The 14,083-nt window shown below is 42.0% G+C and overlaps 1 protein-coding gene across 48 annotated transcripts in view, besides 4 other annotated features; it reads right to left on the bottom strand.

The window, feature by feature from the left end:
• Positions 1–8,557, bottom strand: part of RIF1 (replication timing regulatory factor 1) — a 124,534-nt gene extending 115,977 nt beyond the window's left edge. For 28 of the 48 annotated variants that reach the window (XR_007077534.1, XR_007077537.1, XR_007077543.1 and 25 more), the window contains exons 1-6: positions 8,426–8,557; positions 7,932–8,045; positions 7,121–7,199; positions 3,540–3,636; positions 1,771–1,898; positions 1,558–1,652 (exon numbers count right to left, since the gene is read on the bottom strand). Coding sequence is in view for 29 of the 48 variants with exons in the window: in NM_018151.5 (NP_060621.3) it covers positions 1,558–1,652; positions 1,771–1,898; positions 3,540–3,636; positions 7,121–7,199; positions 7,932–8,035 (503 nt within the window). In the remaining 19 variants the exon portion in view is untranslated. Of the gene's footprint in view, positions 1–1,557; positions 1,653–1,770; positions 1,899–3,539; positions 3,637–7,120; positions 7,200–7,931 lie in introns of all 48 variants that reach the window. The other 20 variants (XM_005246665.4, NM_001177664.2, XM_047444880.1 and 17 more) reach the window with 4 other exon arrangements.
• Positions 8,249–8,947: an enhancer, noted in NCBI's record as "NANOG-H3K27ac-H3K4me1 hESC enhancer chr2:152266026-152266724 (GRCh37/hg19 assembly coordinates)". NCBI's record gives its function as "activates a minimal SCP1, AML or CMV promoter by ChIP-STARR-seq in naive H9 embryonic stem cells {active_cell/tissue: H9 hESC(naive)}" and the evidence as "EXISTENCE:reporter gene assay evidence [ECO:0000049][PMID:30033119]".
• Positions 8,485–8,644: an enhancer, noted in NCBI's record as "active region_16637". NCBI's record gives its function as "activates an Ori minimal core promoter by ATAC-STARR-seq in GM12878 lymphoblastoid cells {active_cell/tissue: GM12878}" and the evidence as "EXISTENCE:reporter gene assay evidence [ECO:0000049][PMID:35858748]".
• Positions 8,948–9,646: an enhancer, noted in NCBI's record as "NANOG-H3K27ac-H3K4me1 hESC enhancer chr2:152265327-152266025 (GRCh37/hg19 assembly coordinates)". NCBI's record gives its function as "activates a minimal SCP1, AML or CMV promoter by ChIP-STARR-seq in naive and primed H9 embryonic stem cells {active_cell/tissue: H9 hESC(naive and primed)}" and the evidence as "EXISTENCE:reporter gene assay evidence [ECO:0000049][PMID:30033119]".
• Positions 9,350–9,644: a silencer, noted in NCBI's record as "tiled region #847; HepG2 Repressive non-DNase unmatched - State 10:DNaseD". NCBI's record gives its function as "represses a minimal TATA promoter and a strong SV40 promoter by Sharpr-MPRA in HepG2 cells {active_cell/tissue: HepG2}" and the evidence as "EXISTENCE:reporter gene assay evidence [ECO:0000049][PMID:27701403]".

The following is a 14,083-nucleotide window of genomic DNA, read 5'->3' as shown; positions in this document are numbered from 1 at the left end:
CTGAGGTGGGTGCACCACCTGAGGTCAGGAGTTCAACTCCAGACTGGCCAACGTGGCAAAACCCTGTCTCTGCTAAAAATACAAAAATTTGCCAGGTGTGGTGGCTGACGCCTATAATCCCAGCTACTCGGGAAGCTGAGGCACAAGAATTACTTGAACCTGGGAGGTAGAGATTGCAGAGAGCTGATATCACACCACTACACTCCAGCCTGAACAACAGAGTGAGACTGTCTCAAAAAAATAAAGTTACAGAAAGTAGAGGTTAATTTATTTTAAAAATGTTTTTATAGATTTAGTATAGCCTAAGTGTACAGTCTTTATGAAATCTGCAATAGTGCACAGTAATGTCCTAGACCTTCACATTCCCTCATCACTCCTTCACTGACTCACCCAAAGAACCTTCAGTCCTAAAACCTCCATTCGTGGTAAGTGTGAGATACAGGTGTACCATTTTTTAATCTTTTTTATCATATTTTTAGTGTACCTTTTCTATGTTTAGGTACACAAATAGTATCGTGTTAGAAGTGCCTACAATATCCAGTACAGTAATATACTGTACAGGTCTGTAGCCTAGGAGCAACAGGTTGTACCATGCAGCCTGGGTATATAGTAGGCTATTCCACCTAGGTTTGTGTAAGTCCTCTTAATAATGTTTGCACAATGATGAAATTACATGATGCATTCCTCAGAATGTATTCCCATCATTATGTGACACATGACTGTATTTGCATATAACCTACGCACATCCTCCCATATACTTTAAATCATTTCTAGGTTACTGATAATAGCTAATACAATGTAAGTGCTAAGTAAGTAGTTGTTATACTGTACTGTTTAGGAAATAATGACAAGAAAATCAGAGTCTGTACATGTTCAATACAGATGCAATTTTTCTGAGACTTTCAACCCTCAATTGGTTGAATCCAAGGATGCAGAACCTACAAAGGGCCAACTGTATTACTTATTGTTATATTACTAAATTCATCATTGTTATAGAAAAGGATAGCCAGAGAACCATGACATAATCTTAGCATCAATCAGAGCATTCAACAGTGGGGAAGTTAAAGCAAGTAACTCAACAAGAAAATTTTAAAGAACAAAAAACAGGGAAGACAGAAATGTCATCAAAGAGTTTACACTTAAAAGAGTTTATGCGTTGGCATGCCTGTTACAACAAAAATGAAGAAGGTACTCTATTCCCTGCTAAACACTGACTGCCTTCCTAAACAACCCAAGCCCACTTATGAGTTTACATTATTTTTTAAATCCTTACACAAACTTTAAGATATTTTTCAAACCTGAACTGTGTATGTTACTAGCAGGAACATAACCAAGACTTCACCTTGAACATGGTCCCAGTAAAAATAAACAAAAAACCTAGTAACCCACACATATCTACTTCCATCTTTTTTCTATTACTTTTTGTCCTTGAGTCGTTTGGTGTAAATGACATTCCCCCCTTTTAATGTCTGTCTCTCATTTAAATCCCAAAAACCCTCTCCTTCAGCTAAATTTATGAAAACTATTCTTCAATTTGCACAACATCCAAATGCATACCTTACGATAACATTTAATGCTTCAAAATCAACAACAGCAGAATGCGTCTCTCCTTTGTTAAACAGTATTTCTAATGAATCAATTATACTGGATACCTAAAAAACGAACCAAATAAATACAAATGAAATAAGCCTGAACTGTTTTTATTGGCATTATAGTTTTTTCTTTTAATTGGCATATAGTTAAGATGGCATACCCAAAAACTATACTCACCATTTTGCCAACCACTTCAGAGGGAAATGTCTGCTTAGATATCACCCAAAGTGCTCTAGTACGTACATTTTTGTCTGAATTCTTAATGGTATCATTCAATTTTGAAAGCAATTCTAGAGCATTTGCCTCTGAAAAACAAGCAGTTTTAATTTTGTATAGAATAGGTGATACTCTTTAAAGTCTCAAATATAAAACTAGAGAAAACAATATACTCATCAATCATAAAATTAAATGTATATCCAGAGAACAGATCAGAGAACCAATGCTGATACCAAACTTCTCCCAAAAACACAAAATTCAGATTAGAGGGGAGGATATACTGAGAGAAAATAAAACAACAGACACCAAATCAGATATCTTGTGCAACTGAAATAACTAGATATCACTGTAGGTTTGAACATACAAGACAATTTTTGGTAAGATGTTTTCAATCCTGCATCTCTGCTCCAAAATGAACAACTCCTGCTTTAGGTTGCTAACACTTCCATGTATAAAAAAGAGCAGGCAGCAGCTTTTCCCTCAAAAACAGATGGTAACAACTTTGACATCTTTATTCCTAACTTCCCTTCTCTAAAGATAAGGGTTTCCTTTACAATGGAAATCATCTAACTATGGAGCAACAGTGCAGACTACTTGAAAACTTGGAAAGCATTAGGTTCTGTGCTTTCATTACCACTTTTAGTTCCAAATTATCCCACATTTATCATGTCAAAGAACTTTTCAATTCAGCATATTCCTTAGTGCATATGCCTGAATAAAAGTTTCCCTTTTTACAGCAATCATGTTTAAATACCCTTTTCATTTGATTTTTTTTGAGACGGAGTTTCACTCTTGCCCAGGCTGGAGTGCAATGGCAACACCTTGGCTCACTGCAACCTCCATCTCCCAGGTTCAAGCGATTCTCCTGCCTCAGCCTCCCGAGTAGCTGGGATTACAGGAATGCGCCACCACACCCAGCTAATTTTTTTTGTATTTTTAGTAGAGACGGGGTTTCTCCAGGTTGGCCAGGCTGGTCTCGAACTCCCGACCTTAGGTGATCCACCCGCCTCGGCCTCCCAAAGTGCTGGGATTACAGGCATGAGACACTGCACCCAGCAATATCCTTTTTTTTTTTTTTTTTTTTTTGAGACAGAGTCCCAGTCTGGAGTGCAGTGGCAAGCTCTGCCTGCCAGGTTCACGCCATTCTCCTGCCTCAGCCTCCCCAGCAGATGGGACTACAGGCACCTGCCACCACGCCCGGCTAATCTTTTGTCAAATACCATTATTTTTAAGAGCAAATTTTGTAGTATCGAAGTTAGAGCTATGTGTAGGTAATGATAATCTAAACATTCTTTTTTTTTTTTGAGATGGGGTCTCACTTATCACCCAGGTTAGAGTACAATGGCACGATCTCGACTCACTGCAAACTCCGCCTCCCGGGTTCACGTCATTCTCCTGCCTCAGCCTCCCGAGTAGCTGGAACTACAGGCGCCCGCCACGGTGCCCGGCTAATTTTTTGTATTTTTAGTACAGACGGGGTTTCACCATGTTAGCCAGGATGGTCTCGATCTCCTGACCTCATGATCCACCCGCCTCGGCCTCCCAAAGTGCTAGGATTACAGGCGTGAGCCACCACACCCAGCCATTCTTTCTTTCTTAAAAGCAAACCTTAAACTACAGGTTCTGAAACTAATCCAGACATAACAGTACTTTTAACAGCATCAAACTACTTATACTTAAAACTTATACTTTATACTCTAAAAATATTAAGTCATAAGAAATTTATCTACCTGATAATTCTGAGGTAATTTTGGGATTATATAAGCAAAACCCCAGGGCTTGTAGAGCAGCACTACTCAGCTCCGAGTTTTGACTGGAAATGTGAGTCTACAAAAACAAAATCACATTTATTACAAACAAGCACAACTGTAAATCAATTTTTAGAAAGCAGAAGTTGATTACAGAACAAGCATATTCATCATGTTACTCCAACAAATCCTTGAGAATACGCATAAAAAATAAAAATAAAAATAAACAAGGAATAAAATCCAAAGGCCATGTGTACAGCTTGGTAAAGAAAGGAGAGGAAACTGGATCGAGATCACCTGAATGAAGATAAAGGATATCTCTACACCTATGAAAGCAAAGAGGTCAACAGATGAAAGATGCTAAAGACATGACAGGGAAAAGGGAGCAAGGCCCTTCCACTGAGTAAACAAGAGACTCAAATCCAAAAGCTAACATCCTAGCTTTAGAGTGGAGTGACATCTCTTCCTCTAAGACTGGGAGAAGGAAGGGGTTAGAATGTAACGTTTATAAAGTATCTATTATTATCTCAATTAATAGTAAAATAAAACAATTTTTTAAACCTTATACATAAGAGAATTTCAATCCATGTCAATCTAGAAATTTTTTTTTTTTTTGAGACAGAGTTTCGCTCTTGTTGCCCAGGCTGGAGTGCAATGGTGTAATCTCAGTTCCCTGCAACCTCTGCTTCCCAGGTTCAAGAGCAGCTGGGATGACAGGCGCGCGCCACCATGCCTATATTTTTGTATTTTTTGTAGAGATGGGGTTTCACCATGTTGGCCAGGCTGGTCTCAAACTCCTGACCTCAGGTGATCCACCCGCCTCAGGCCTCCCAAAGTGCTGGGATTACAGGCGTGAGCCACCGTGCCTGGCTGTCAATCTAGAATTTAAAGCCCAACTCATACCATTTATGTAAAAGCTATAAAAGGCCAAATCTGTCAAAGAGTATCTCAATATGAAAGTTTACTTTTACCCTGTACCCCATTTCCCTTGTACCATTTCCTACTCCAAAGGGATTTATCTTCAAAACCCCCATATCTATTTGAATCAAATATCCAAGGAATCTTCAATTGTTATTCTTGAGCAGGAAGAATAGCAAATGTAAATGGTTAAATATATGAGCAGATACTTCCCTGCAGTGTCTTCTATATTTACAAAACGAAGCCAAAAAATGCAAATCCTAGAGTACAGAATGTAAGGGATATAGCACAGCAACCAGTTGTAAGCAACTAAGTAAGGCTTAATACTTTGAGAGCTACTAGTGTATCTCCTGGATAACAGCTAGTAAATGTTTGTGATTAATCTTCATTAAACTTACTTGAAAGTGTTCCTTAACGATGATGTGTCTCATTTTCAAGAATGTTGTAGATTCCTAGACACAATCCTAGCTGAACTCTGAACACGACATATAAACATGTTCTATTTTACCTGGTATGGTTCCTACTCTGAAAGAATTCAATTATCCTTTCATTGCTTAAAATTGCTTATTGTCCTATTATCAACCTTCCATGTGCATCCAAATAATTTCAGGTACAAATCCTATTTACGAACAATGCAACTTGACTCAAAATGTATGCAGTAAGGCTGGGCACAATGGCCCAGGCTTACTTTGGGAGGCCAAGGTGGGCGGATCACCTGAGGTCGGCAGTTCGAGACCAGCCTGATCAACATGGAGAAACCCCCGTCTCTACTAAAAATACAAAAAAAAAAGTAGCTGGGCGTAGTGGCACATGCCTGTAACCCCAGCTACTTGAGAGGCTGAGGCAGGAGAACGGCTTGAACCCAGGAGGTGTTCAAGCCATTGCACTCCAGCCTGGGCAACAAGAGCAAAACTCCGTCTCAAAAAAAAAAAAAGTATGCAATAGAATTCCTGATCCTATAAATACTCAATACACGAAAGTGCATGTCTTCACATCTAATTATTATAATATGGAATATGATAATGAAGAAAATGGAATAAACACTGATATTAAGTAACTAGCACACAATAAAGTTTCTGCTTACACAAAAAATGTTGATGACTGTGACACCACCAAGAGTAGGCAGTATCTCTGTTAATACTTCGCCAAAAATCACGTTAAAATGTACATGTCTGGATGAAACACTTGTTTAAAGGCACACGGCTGGGCACGGTGGCTCACACCTATAATCCTAGCCCTCTGAGAGGCCAAGGCGGGTGGATCACCTGAGGTCAAGAGTTCAAGATCAGCCTGGTCAACATGGTGAAAGCCCGTCTCTACTAAAAATATTAGCTGGGTGTGGTGGGGGCATGCCTGTAATCCCAGCTACTCAGGAGGCTGAGGCGGGAGAATCACTTGAACCTGGGAGGCAGAGGTTGCAGTGAGCTGAGATTGTGCCACTGCACTCCAGCACGGGCGACACAGCAAGACTCTGTCTCAAACAAACAAAAAGCACAAAAGCTGGGCATGGTGGCACCTACTTGTAATCTCAGCTACTAAGGAGGCTGAGGTGGGAGGATCGCTTGGACCCAGGAGTTCAAGACTGGCTTAGGCAACCTATCAAGACCCCCACCTCAATTTTAAAAATTAAAAACAAAAATAAAAGCACAAGAACAAGGTCATAATAAAAACAAACAAAAAAAATTAAAAAAAGAGAACAAGGTCATAAAAATGAGAACTCAAACTTTGGAGATAAAAGTTCAACTTTTTCATTCTAAAAACAAGGAAATTTAAAAGATGTTAAGGATAGTCAGGAAGCCATTAAGTAGGCAAGTGAAGACAGGAACACAGGTCCACAGTATGATGTCAAACATCATTTCCCTAAAGCAAAAATGATAACGGTTGTAGCAAAAACTGAGGGTGAATGAGGAAAAAGAAATTAATGCTACCTAGATTAGACCAAAGACAATTGTAATTTTAGAAGCACTTACTTAGATGTAGATTCCCAAAAGGAAAGAAAACAGATTAATCTCTGATCTCTGCTTTCAAGAGCACAAACTCAGATTCAAGTGCCCCTAGGCAACTTTAGGCAAATTAAATTAATTTCTTCACCTGCAAAGTGATCATTAAGAAATAATCTCATGGAACCATGGAGAGTTAAGTGATAAAGCGTGTAAGGTAATTAAGAAAGTACCTGAGAAGCTTTAAGTAACAATAAAGAGTATTATAATCAGTATTATTGCTGTTATTTTAGATTCAAAGCTTTTGAGTCAACTGGCAAAACTTTTAAAAACCACCAAAAGTGGCTGGACACAGTGGCTCACTCCTGTAATCCCAACACTTTGGGAGGCTGAGGCAGGCGGATCACCTGAGGTCGGGAGTTCGAGACCAGCCTGACCAACATGGAGAAACCCCTTCTCTACTAAAAATACAAAATTAGCCGGGGCGGTGGCGGATGCCTATAATCCCAGCTATTCAGGAGGCTGAGGCAAGAGAATCGCTTGAACCCGAGAGGCGGAGGTTTCAGTGAGCCGAGCCCGAGCCTGAGCCATTGCACTCTCGCCTGGGCAACAAGAGCAAAACTACACCTCAAAACAAAAAAACAAAACCAAAAAAAAAAACCAAACTACCAAAAGTGAAAAACTGTTTAACAAACAGATACATACCTTTAAAACTTTGTACAGCCGAGGAAGTTTTTTCTCAATTTCTGTAATTACTTCTTTTCCTTCTTCTCCAGTCATACGACTTAAAAAGCAGGAAGAACACAAGTTTAAGTAGTTGACAGGAAAAAAAAAAATACTCTCAAAAATACATGTACAATCTTTTTAAAAATTACTTTCTAACTCCTGCAAATGAATTGACCCAGTAGGTAAGGTCCTTAAGGGTATACAGAATATATAATGCAATATATATCAGAAATGAAAGTAGAAAAACCCTCAGAATAAGTTTTTACATCGAGTACATGCAAGTTGTGACAACCTGACTCCAAAAAGACAGAACAGGGATCCCTATTCCTAGTTACTAACGATTTGCTAAGCCTTTCCAAAGGGTTTTACAAAACTTTAGTACATTTCTATGAAAATTACTTTGAAGCATTTTGCAATTAATAAAAATCAGTGTATTGCTCTGTTAAAAAAACTCTGGGTAGCCACATTTTCCCAACACATCGGAGGTTTACACTGAAGACCCCTCCTCCAACAACTACTTCCAACCGAAACTTTTAAAAATCCCTCGCTTGCAAAACACACGTGCATGCTCCCTCGTTCCAAACACACACCTCAAGCGCAGCAGCAGCAGTACCCGGGAACGTCACCTAGAATACATCTCCCCCGCCCCCCAAGGCGTCCGCGACTCGGGCGTCCTCACATTTGCTAGACTTCTAGAACTCACATTCATTCTACGCGCCCCTCCCAACCACCTTCTTTCTCCCCACTATAGAGCGCCCCACTCTCCGCTACGCCCCGTGGCGGACCTCACCTGGTCAGAGTCAGGTAAGCGTCAGTCTGCCCTCCATGGGAGGCAGAAGGGTCTTCCAAAGTCTCCAACAGCGGCGCGAGGGGGCTCTGACCCCTGGCCGTCATGTCGGCCACCCTGAGGCCCGAACCGGAAGAGGAGAAAATCCAGTGACCGATGGAAACAGCCCCGCGGCGGCCCAGTGTGAGTCCGGCCCTCACACCCGCACGCCCGCCCGGGCCTCACAGCCACGCCGCGTCTGCACCCCAGGCCTCCGAATCACCAAACCCCAGCGCGAACCTCCTCCGGCGCCCGACACCAGACACCTGAGCCCACGCCACATTCGGGCCTGGGCCCGCTCCCGCCACCACTTTCCCGGGCAGCTTTCAACAGAGGGAGGAGATCGGCGGAGGGCGGGAGAAGCCCGGGGAACGAGGCATCTCGCCGCGAGGGGGCGGAGGGTGGGCAGACTGAGGGTTCCCCGCGGCCTACCACTGTCACCCCGATATTTATCCCACCTAGGAAGATCAGGACAGGGTTCTCTCCGCCTCTGCCCCTCAGCACCCAGACGCTGCCAGAGCTCGACTTTCCCAGCTCCGGCTGTTTACTCACGCGTGCGGCGCGCTCCCTCCTAGACCAAGATGGCGGCTGGGCGGGCCCAGGAGTGCGCGGGAGTAGGTTAGGCCTGGCGGGAGAAGTTCGAGCCAATCCAACAGTCAGCGGCACACCGGAGTTATCGATCGCCTCCCTTCCCATCCCTTCCCATCCCTTCCCTGCCCAGCTGCCGCGTCACGCCCCTCTGGTGAGCATCAGGTGGTGGTGTTTTGCCTAAGGCGAGAGACTTGAAATTCAAAATGTGAGTTAATTGCTCAGACTCACTAGACTGAACATAGTGGGCCCTCAGACTAAGTGTTCAAACTCCAAGTCCAGTGCTTGTTGAAGTTTTAGCAACAAATCAGTTAGCAAAAGGAGATAACGTACTGTTGGGTTTAAGACTAAGAGCTGGCCGGGCGCGGTGACTCACACCTTGTAATCCAAGCACTTTGGGAGGCCGAGTCTGAGGTCAGGAGTTCGAGACCAGCCTGGCCAACACATGGTGAAACCCCGTCTCTACTTAAAAAAAACAAAAATACAAAAATTAGTTGGGTGTGGTGGCGCACGCCTGTAGTCCCAGCCACTTGGGAAGCTGAGGCAGGAGAATCGCTTAAACCCGGGAAGCGGAGGTTGCAGTGGGCCGAGATCACGCCACTGCACTCCAGCCTGAGCGACAGAGTAAGAGTAAGACTCCGTCTCTCAAAAAAAAAAAAAAAGAAAGAAAGAAAAAGAAAAGAACTGTATCTCAAGCTGGTCTAGATTCCAGCTGGTCTAGGTTCCATGTGACTTTAGCAAGTTAATTAACCTATGCCTCAATTTCCTCCTCTATAAAATAGGGCTTTTAATAGGTGAAGTGAGAAAAGGTTGGAGAGGCCAATGGTTCTCAGGTCTTAAGCGTACATAACAATGGCCTGGGGATATTCGTTATTAAACTGCAGATTCCTGGGCCCCGCCCATATGCATTGTAATTCAGTAGATTTAGGTAGCTCCCGAGGATGTGCATTCTTCTGTTAGGCCCCTGGGGGGTTGAAGGGTGGGATTTGGCCAGGGCTTCTTCCCTAGAGAAACGTCAGTAAACACAATGACAGTCATTTCTCCTTACTGTGAATATGCTGCTCCTCCCCCGCCTTTTTTTTTTTTTAAGACGGAGCCTCGTTCTTTCGCCCAGGCTGGAGTGCAGTGGTGCGATCTCGGCTCACTGCAACCTCTGCCTCCCGGGTTCAAGCGAGTCTCTGACTCAGCCTCCCGAGCAGCTGGGATTACAGGCGCCCGCCACCACACCTGGCTAATTTTTGTACTTTTAGTAGAGACGGGGTTTCACCATCTTGGCCGTGCTGGTCTCGAACCCCTGACCTCGTGATCCACCCGCCTCGGACACCCAAAGTGCTGGGATTACAGGCGTGAGCCACCGCGCCCGGTCTGCTTCTCCCCTTTTCATATGCCTTCGTGCACTCTCCACAACAGACAGGATTGCATTAACTCTAAATCAGACACATGAAGCCCAGCAGCAATGGAACTCTCCATCATGGGTTCCTGGCCCAGGATTTGAGCCCTCACTCACATGTGCTGCAACTCTCAGCTCTAGAAGTGGGATGTTGCTTTTTGCTCTTCTTTGTGTCATCTGCACTTAGCAAAATGACTGCCAAACGACGCAGTACATACATAGTATGCTTATATATATATTTATTTATTTATATGTATTTATATATATTTATATTTATTTACATATATTTATATATATACACACACACACATACATATATACATATACATATATATATATATATATATATTTTTTTTTTTTTTTTTTTTTTTTTTTTTTTTGAGACGGAGTCTCGCTCTATCACCCAGGCTGGAGTGCACTGACCTGATCTCAGCTCACTGCATCCTCCGCCTCCTGGGTTCAAGCGATTCCCCTGCCTCAGCCTCCCGAGTAGCTGGGATTACAGGCATGCGCCACCACGCCCAGCTAATTTTTTGTATTTTAGTATAGACAGGTTTCACCATGTTGGCCAAGATGGTCTTGATCTCCTGACCTCGTGATCAGCCCGCCTCGGCCTCCCAAAGTGCTGGGATTACAGACTTGAGCCACCACGCCTGCCTCTACCCATTCATTAGAACATAAATTCTGTGAGAACAGGGATTTTGCTTTATTTTTTTCATAATTTCCCATTTGTAATGAAAGGACTACGGTGGTCATGTTGCTTGTATTTCTTTCATATGTATGGTTCTTTGATCTTCCAAAAATGTTATGTTTTAAATTTTATTATTTTTAAAGACAAGGCCTTGCTCTGTCACCTGGGTTGGAGTGCAGTGGTGTGATTGTGACTTACTGCAGCCCTGAACTTCTTGGGCTCAAATGATCCTCCTGCCTCAGCCTTATAAGTAGCTCAAAAATGTTATGTAAGATTTTATCATTGTCATTCCTGTGCCTAAAGTTCTCCAGCCATTCCCATCAGTAACAGGATGGATTTCAAAACTTTTGACATAACATGCAAGCCTATCATGATTGGGCCACTGCTTGTCCTTCATCTCCAGATTACTCCCACTTCATCAGATTCTGAACAGTCTGCTAAGATCTCCAGCTTCTCTGTGTCTTTGAAGACTTTTATTCAGAGCATGTATTTAGAATATTAATTACCTTCTTCAAGAGTAATAAATAAGAGTCAGGTGGCTCACACCTATAATCCCAACACTTTGCAAGGCTGAGGCAAGTGGATCACCTGAGGTCAGTTCAAGACCAGCCTGGCTAATATGGTGAAACCCCTTCTCTACTAAAAATACAAAAATTAGCCAGGCGTGGTGGTGCATGCCTGTAATCCCAGCTACTCAGGAGGCTGAGGCAGGAGAATCGCTTGAACCCAGGAGGCGGATTCAAGCCAAGATTGTGCCACTGCATCGCAGCCTGGGCAACAGAGCAAGACTCCATCTTAAAAAAAAAAAATCAACTAAAATCACACCTTTTTGTGAAATCTTTCCCTCATCTACTCTCCAACCACACACATTCTCTTCATGGAGAATTAAATGCTCCTGCCTCCCTCCTATCATGCTATAGATCTGATAAAATGAGTATCTCATTAATTTATTATTGTTTGGTTATAGGTGTTTGAGTGCAGTGGCAGAGTTGAGAGTTATCCTGATGGGGATTAATTCCATCTGTAATCTCATCTCATCAGTGCCCCTCCCTCCTATTTGACATTTTCTCAATCTGATCTAGAGTGCTAAGGGATTACAGAATGAAAACAAATACCCTTCCCCACCCAGACCCCTCTTCACACACCTTTACAACTTGGTTGCTACCCCAAAACTTCTCTTTTATAGAAATTCCATATAAATTTATATAGAAATATTTATAGCCACCCTCATGGATCTGCTACCTTTGGGCAATAAATTCATAGTACCTAGCACTCAATAAATATAATTTGAAATAATTTGTTCATATATTAATTCATCCATCTATCATCTAACTAATACACGATTTCTATCTTTCCCTCTCTAAATCCTATATCTCTTCTCCCCAGATCATCTTCCCTTTCTAGATGCCTTATATCTGCAATCCAATATTCCTTTCTAACTTCCTCATTTATGTTTTTTTGTTTTGTTTTGTTTTGTTTTGTTTTGAGACAGGGACTTGCTCTGTCACCCAGGCTGGAGTGCAGTGGTGCAAACATGGCTCAATGCAGCCTCTACCTCCTGGGCTCAGGTGATCCTCTCACCTCAGCCTCCTGAGTAGTTGGGACTACAAGAATGCACCACCATGCCTGGCTAATTTTTATTTTTTGTAGAGATGGAGTCTTGCTATGTTGCTCAGACTGGTCTCAAACTCCTGGGCTCAAGCAATTCTCCCACCTTAACCTCCCAAAGTGCTGAGATTATAGTCTTGAACCACCATGCCCAGCCACATTAAGCACACATTACTCAGCAAACGTCAAGCCTATAATCTATATCTATCAATGACTCCTTTCTCTTACTTGTCCCCAGTGGTCCTAATGATTCTCCCTTCTCAATAATTCTTAGATCTACCCACCAATGTGTATCTAAAATCTCAATTTATAGCCTAAATACACCTAAACATATTATTTCTTAAAAAAAAAAAACAAAAAAAGTTTTTATTGAGTGCCTGGTGCCATACATGCCTTATCTTTTTTTTTTTTCTTTTCGAGACAGAGTCTTGTTCTGTTGCCCAGACTGGAGTGCAGTGGCACAATCTCAGCTCACTGCAACCTCAAATGTTGCAGTGTTCAAGTGATTCTCATGCCTCAGCCACCCAAATAGCTGGGATTTCAGGTGTGTACCACCATGCCCAGCTAATGTTTGTATTTTTGTCAGAGACGGGATTTCACCATGTTGACCAGGCTCGTCTGGAATGCTTGACTTCAAGTGATCCACCTTCGTTGGCCTCCCAAACTGCTGGGATTACAGGAGAGAGCCAACACGCCCAGCCCATGCAAGCATTATCTCATTTATTTCTCACAATAATTCTAAGATGAATTACTTTCCTGGATTTACACATAGGCCATGTAAAGCTTAAAGAGTAAATTAAAACAGAGAACTTTAATCTAGCCATGTGTAACAACAAGTCTACTTGAACTACTTTCATTCATCAACATGTAATGAGCTCTACCCTGCACAAGGCACGGTGGTAAAATGGCTTTCATGATAGATTTATTACTGAATCTTGTAAGAAAAATAAAGTGTAAAGTCCTATGGGAGCCCATTATGTAAAGGGCTCATATAGTAATTCGTTTAGTAAAATCAAGTATTCATCTGTAATCCAAATTATTATAGTAAATGCAATGAGCTCAGCTTTGGATCAAAGAAATGAGTGTTTAAATACTTGCTGTGCCACTGTGTGACTTGAGATCCTCCAGAGAAATGCTTAAAGTTACCACATCTTCATCAATAAAATTAGAAGAATATACTTACATCAAAGTTCAGTGCCTAGCACAAATCTTGGCACATAATAGGTATTTAATAAGCATTTATTAAGTGATTGTATTAATTTAAAATTTCTTAATTCTTTTCTAAAATAGAATTAGTTTAATTCTTATCATTTAAAAATTGTGCGGAATTATATAAAAATCAACTCAAGGCTGGGCACAGTGGCTCACGCTTGTAATCCCAGCACTTTGGGAGGCCGAGGCGGGCGGATCACGAGGTCAGGAGATCGAGACCATCCTGGCCAACATGGTGAAACCCCGTCTCTACTAAAAATACAAAAATTAGCTGGGTATAGTGGCACATGCCTGTAATCCCAGCTACTTGGGAGGCTGAGGCACAAGAATTGCTTGAACCCGGGAGGTGGAGGTTGTAGTGATCTGAGATCACACCACTGCACTCCAGCCTGGTCGACAGAGCGAGACTCCGTCTCAAAAAAAAAAAAAAAAAATCAACTCAATATGGATTAAAGACTTAAACATAAGACCTGAAACTGTAAAACTACTAGAAAAAAAAAATGGAAAAACTTCTTGACATTGGTCTGGGTCTGGGCAATGATTTTTTGGATTTCACTCCAAAAGCCTAGACAACAAAAGCAAAAATAGACAAATGGGATTACATCAAACTATAAAGCTTCTGCTCAG

The sequence above is a fragment of the Homo sapiens genome, chromosome 2 (genome assembly GCF_000001405.40).
Source record: "Homo sapiens chromosome 2, GRCh38.p14 Primary Assembly".
Classification (NCBI taxonomy): domain Eukaryota; kingdom Metazoa; phylum Chordata; class Mammalia; order Primates; family Hominidae; genus Homo; species Homo sapiens.
Note: the sequence above shows the minus strand (reverse complement) of the source record. Positions and strands in the feature narration are given on the sequence as shown.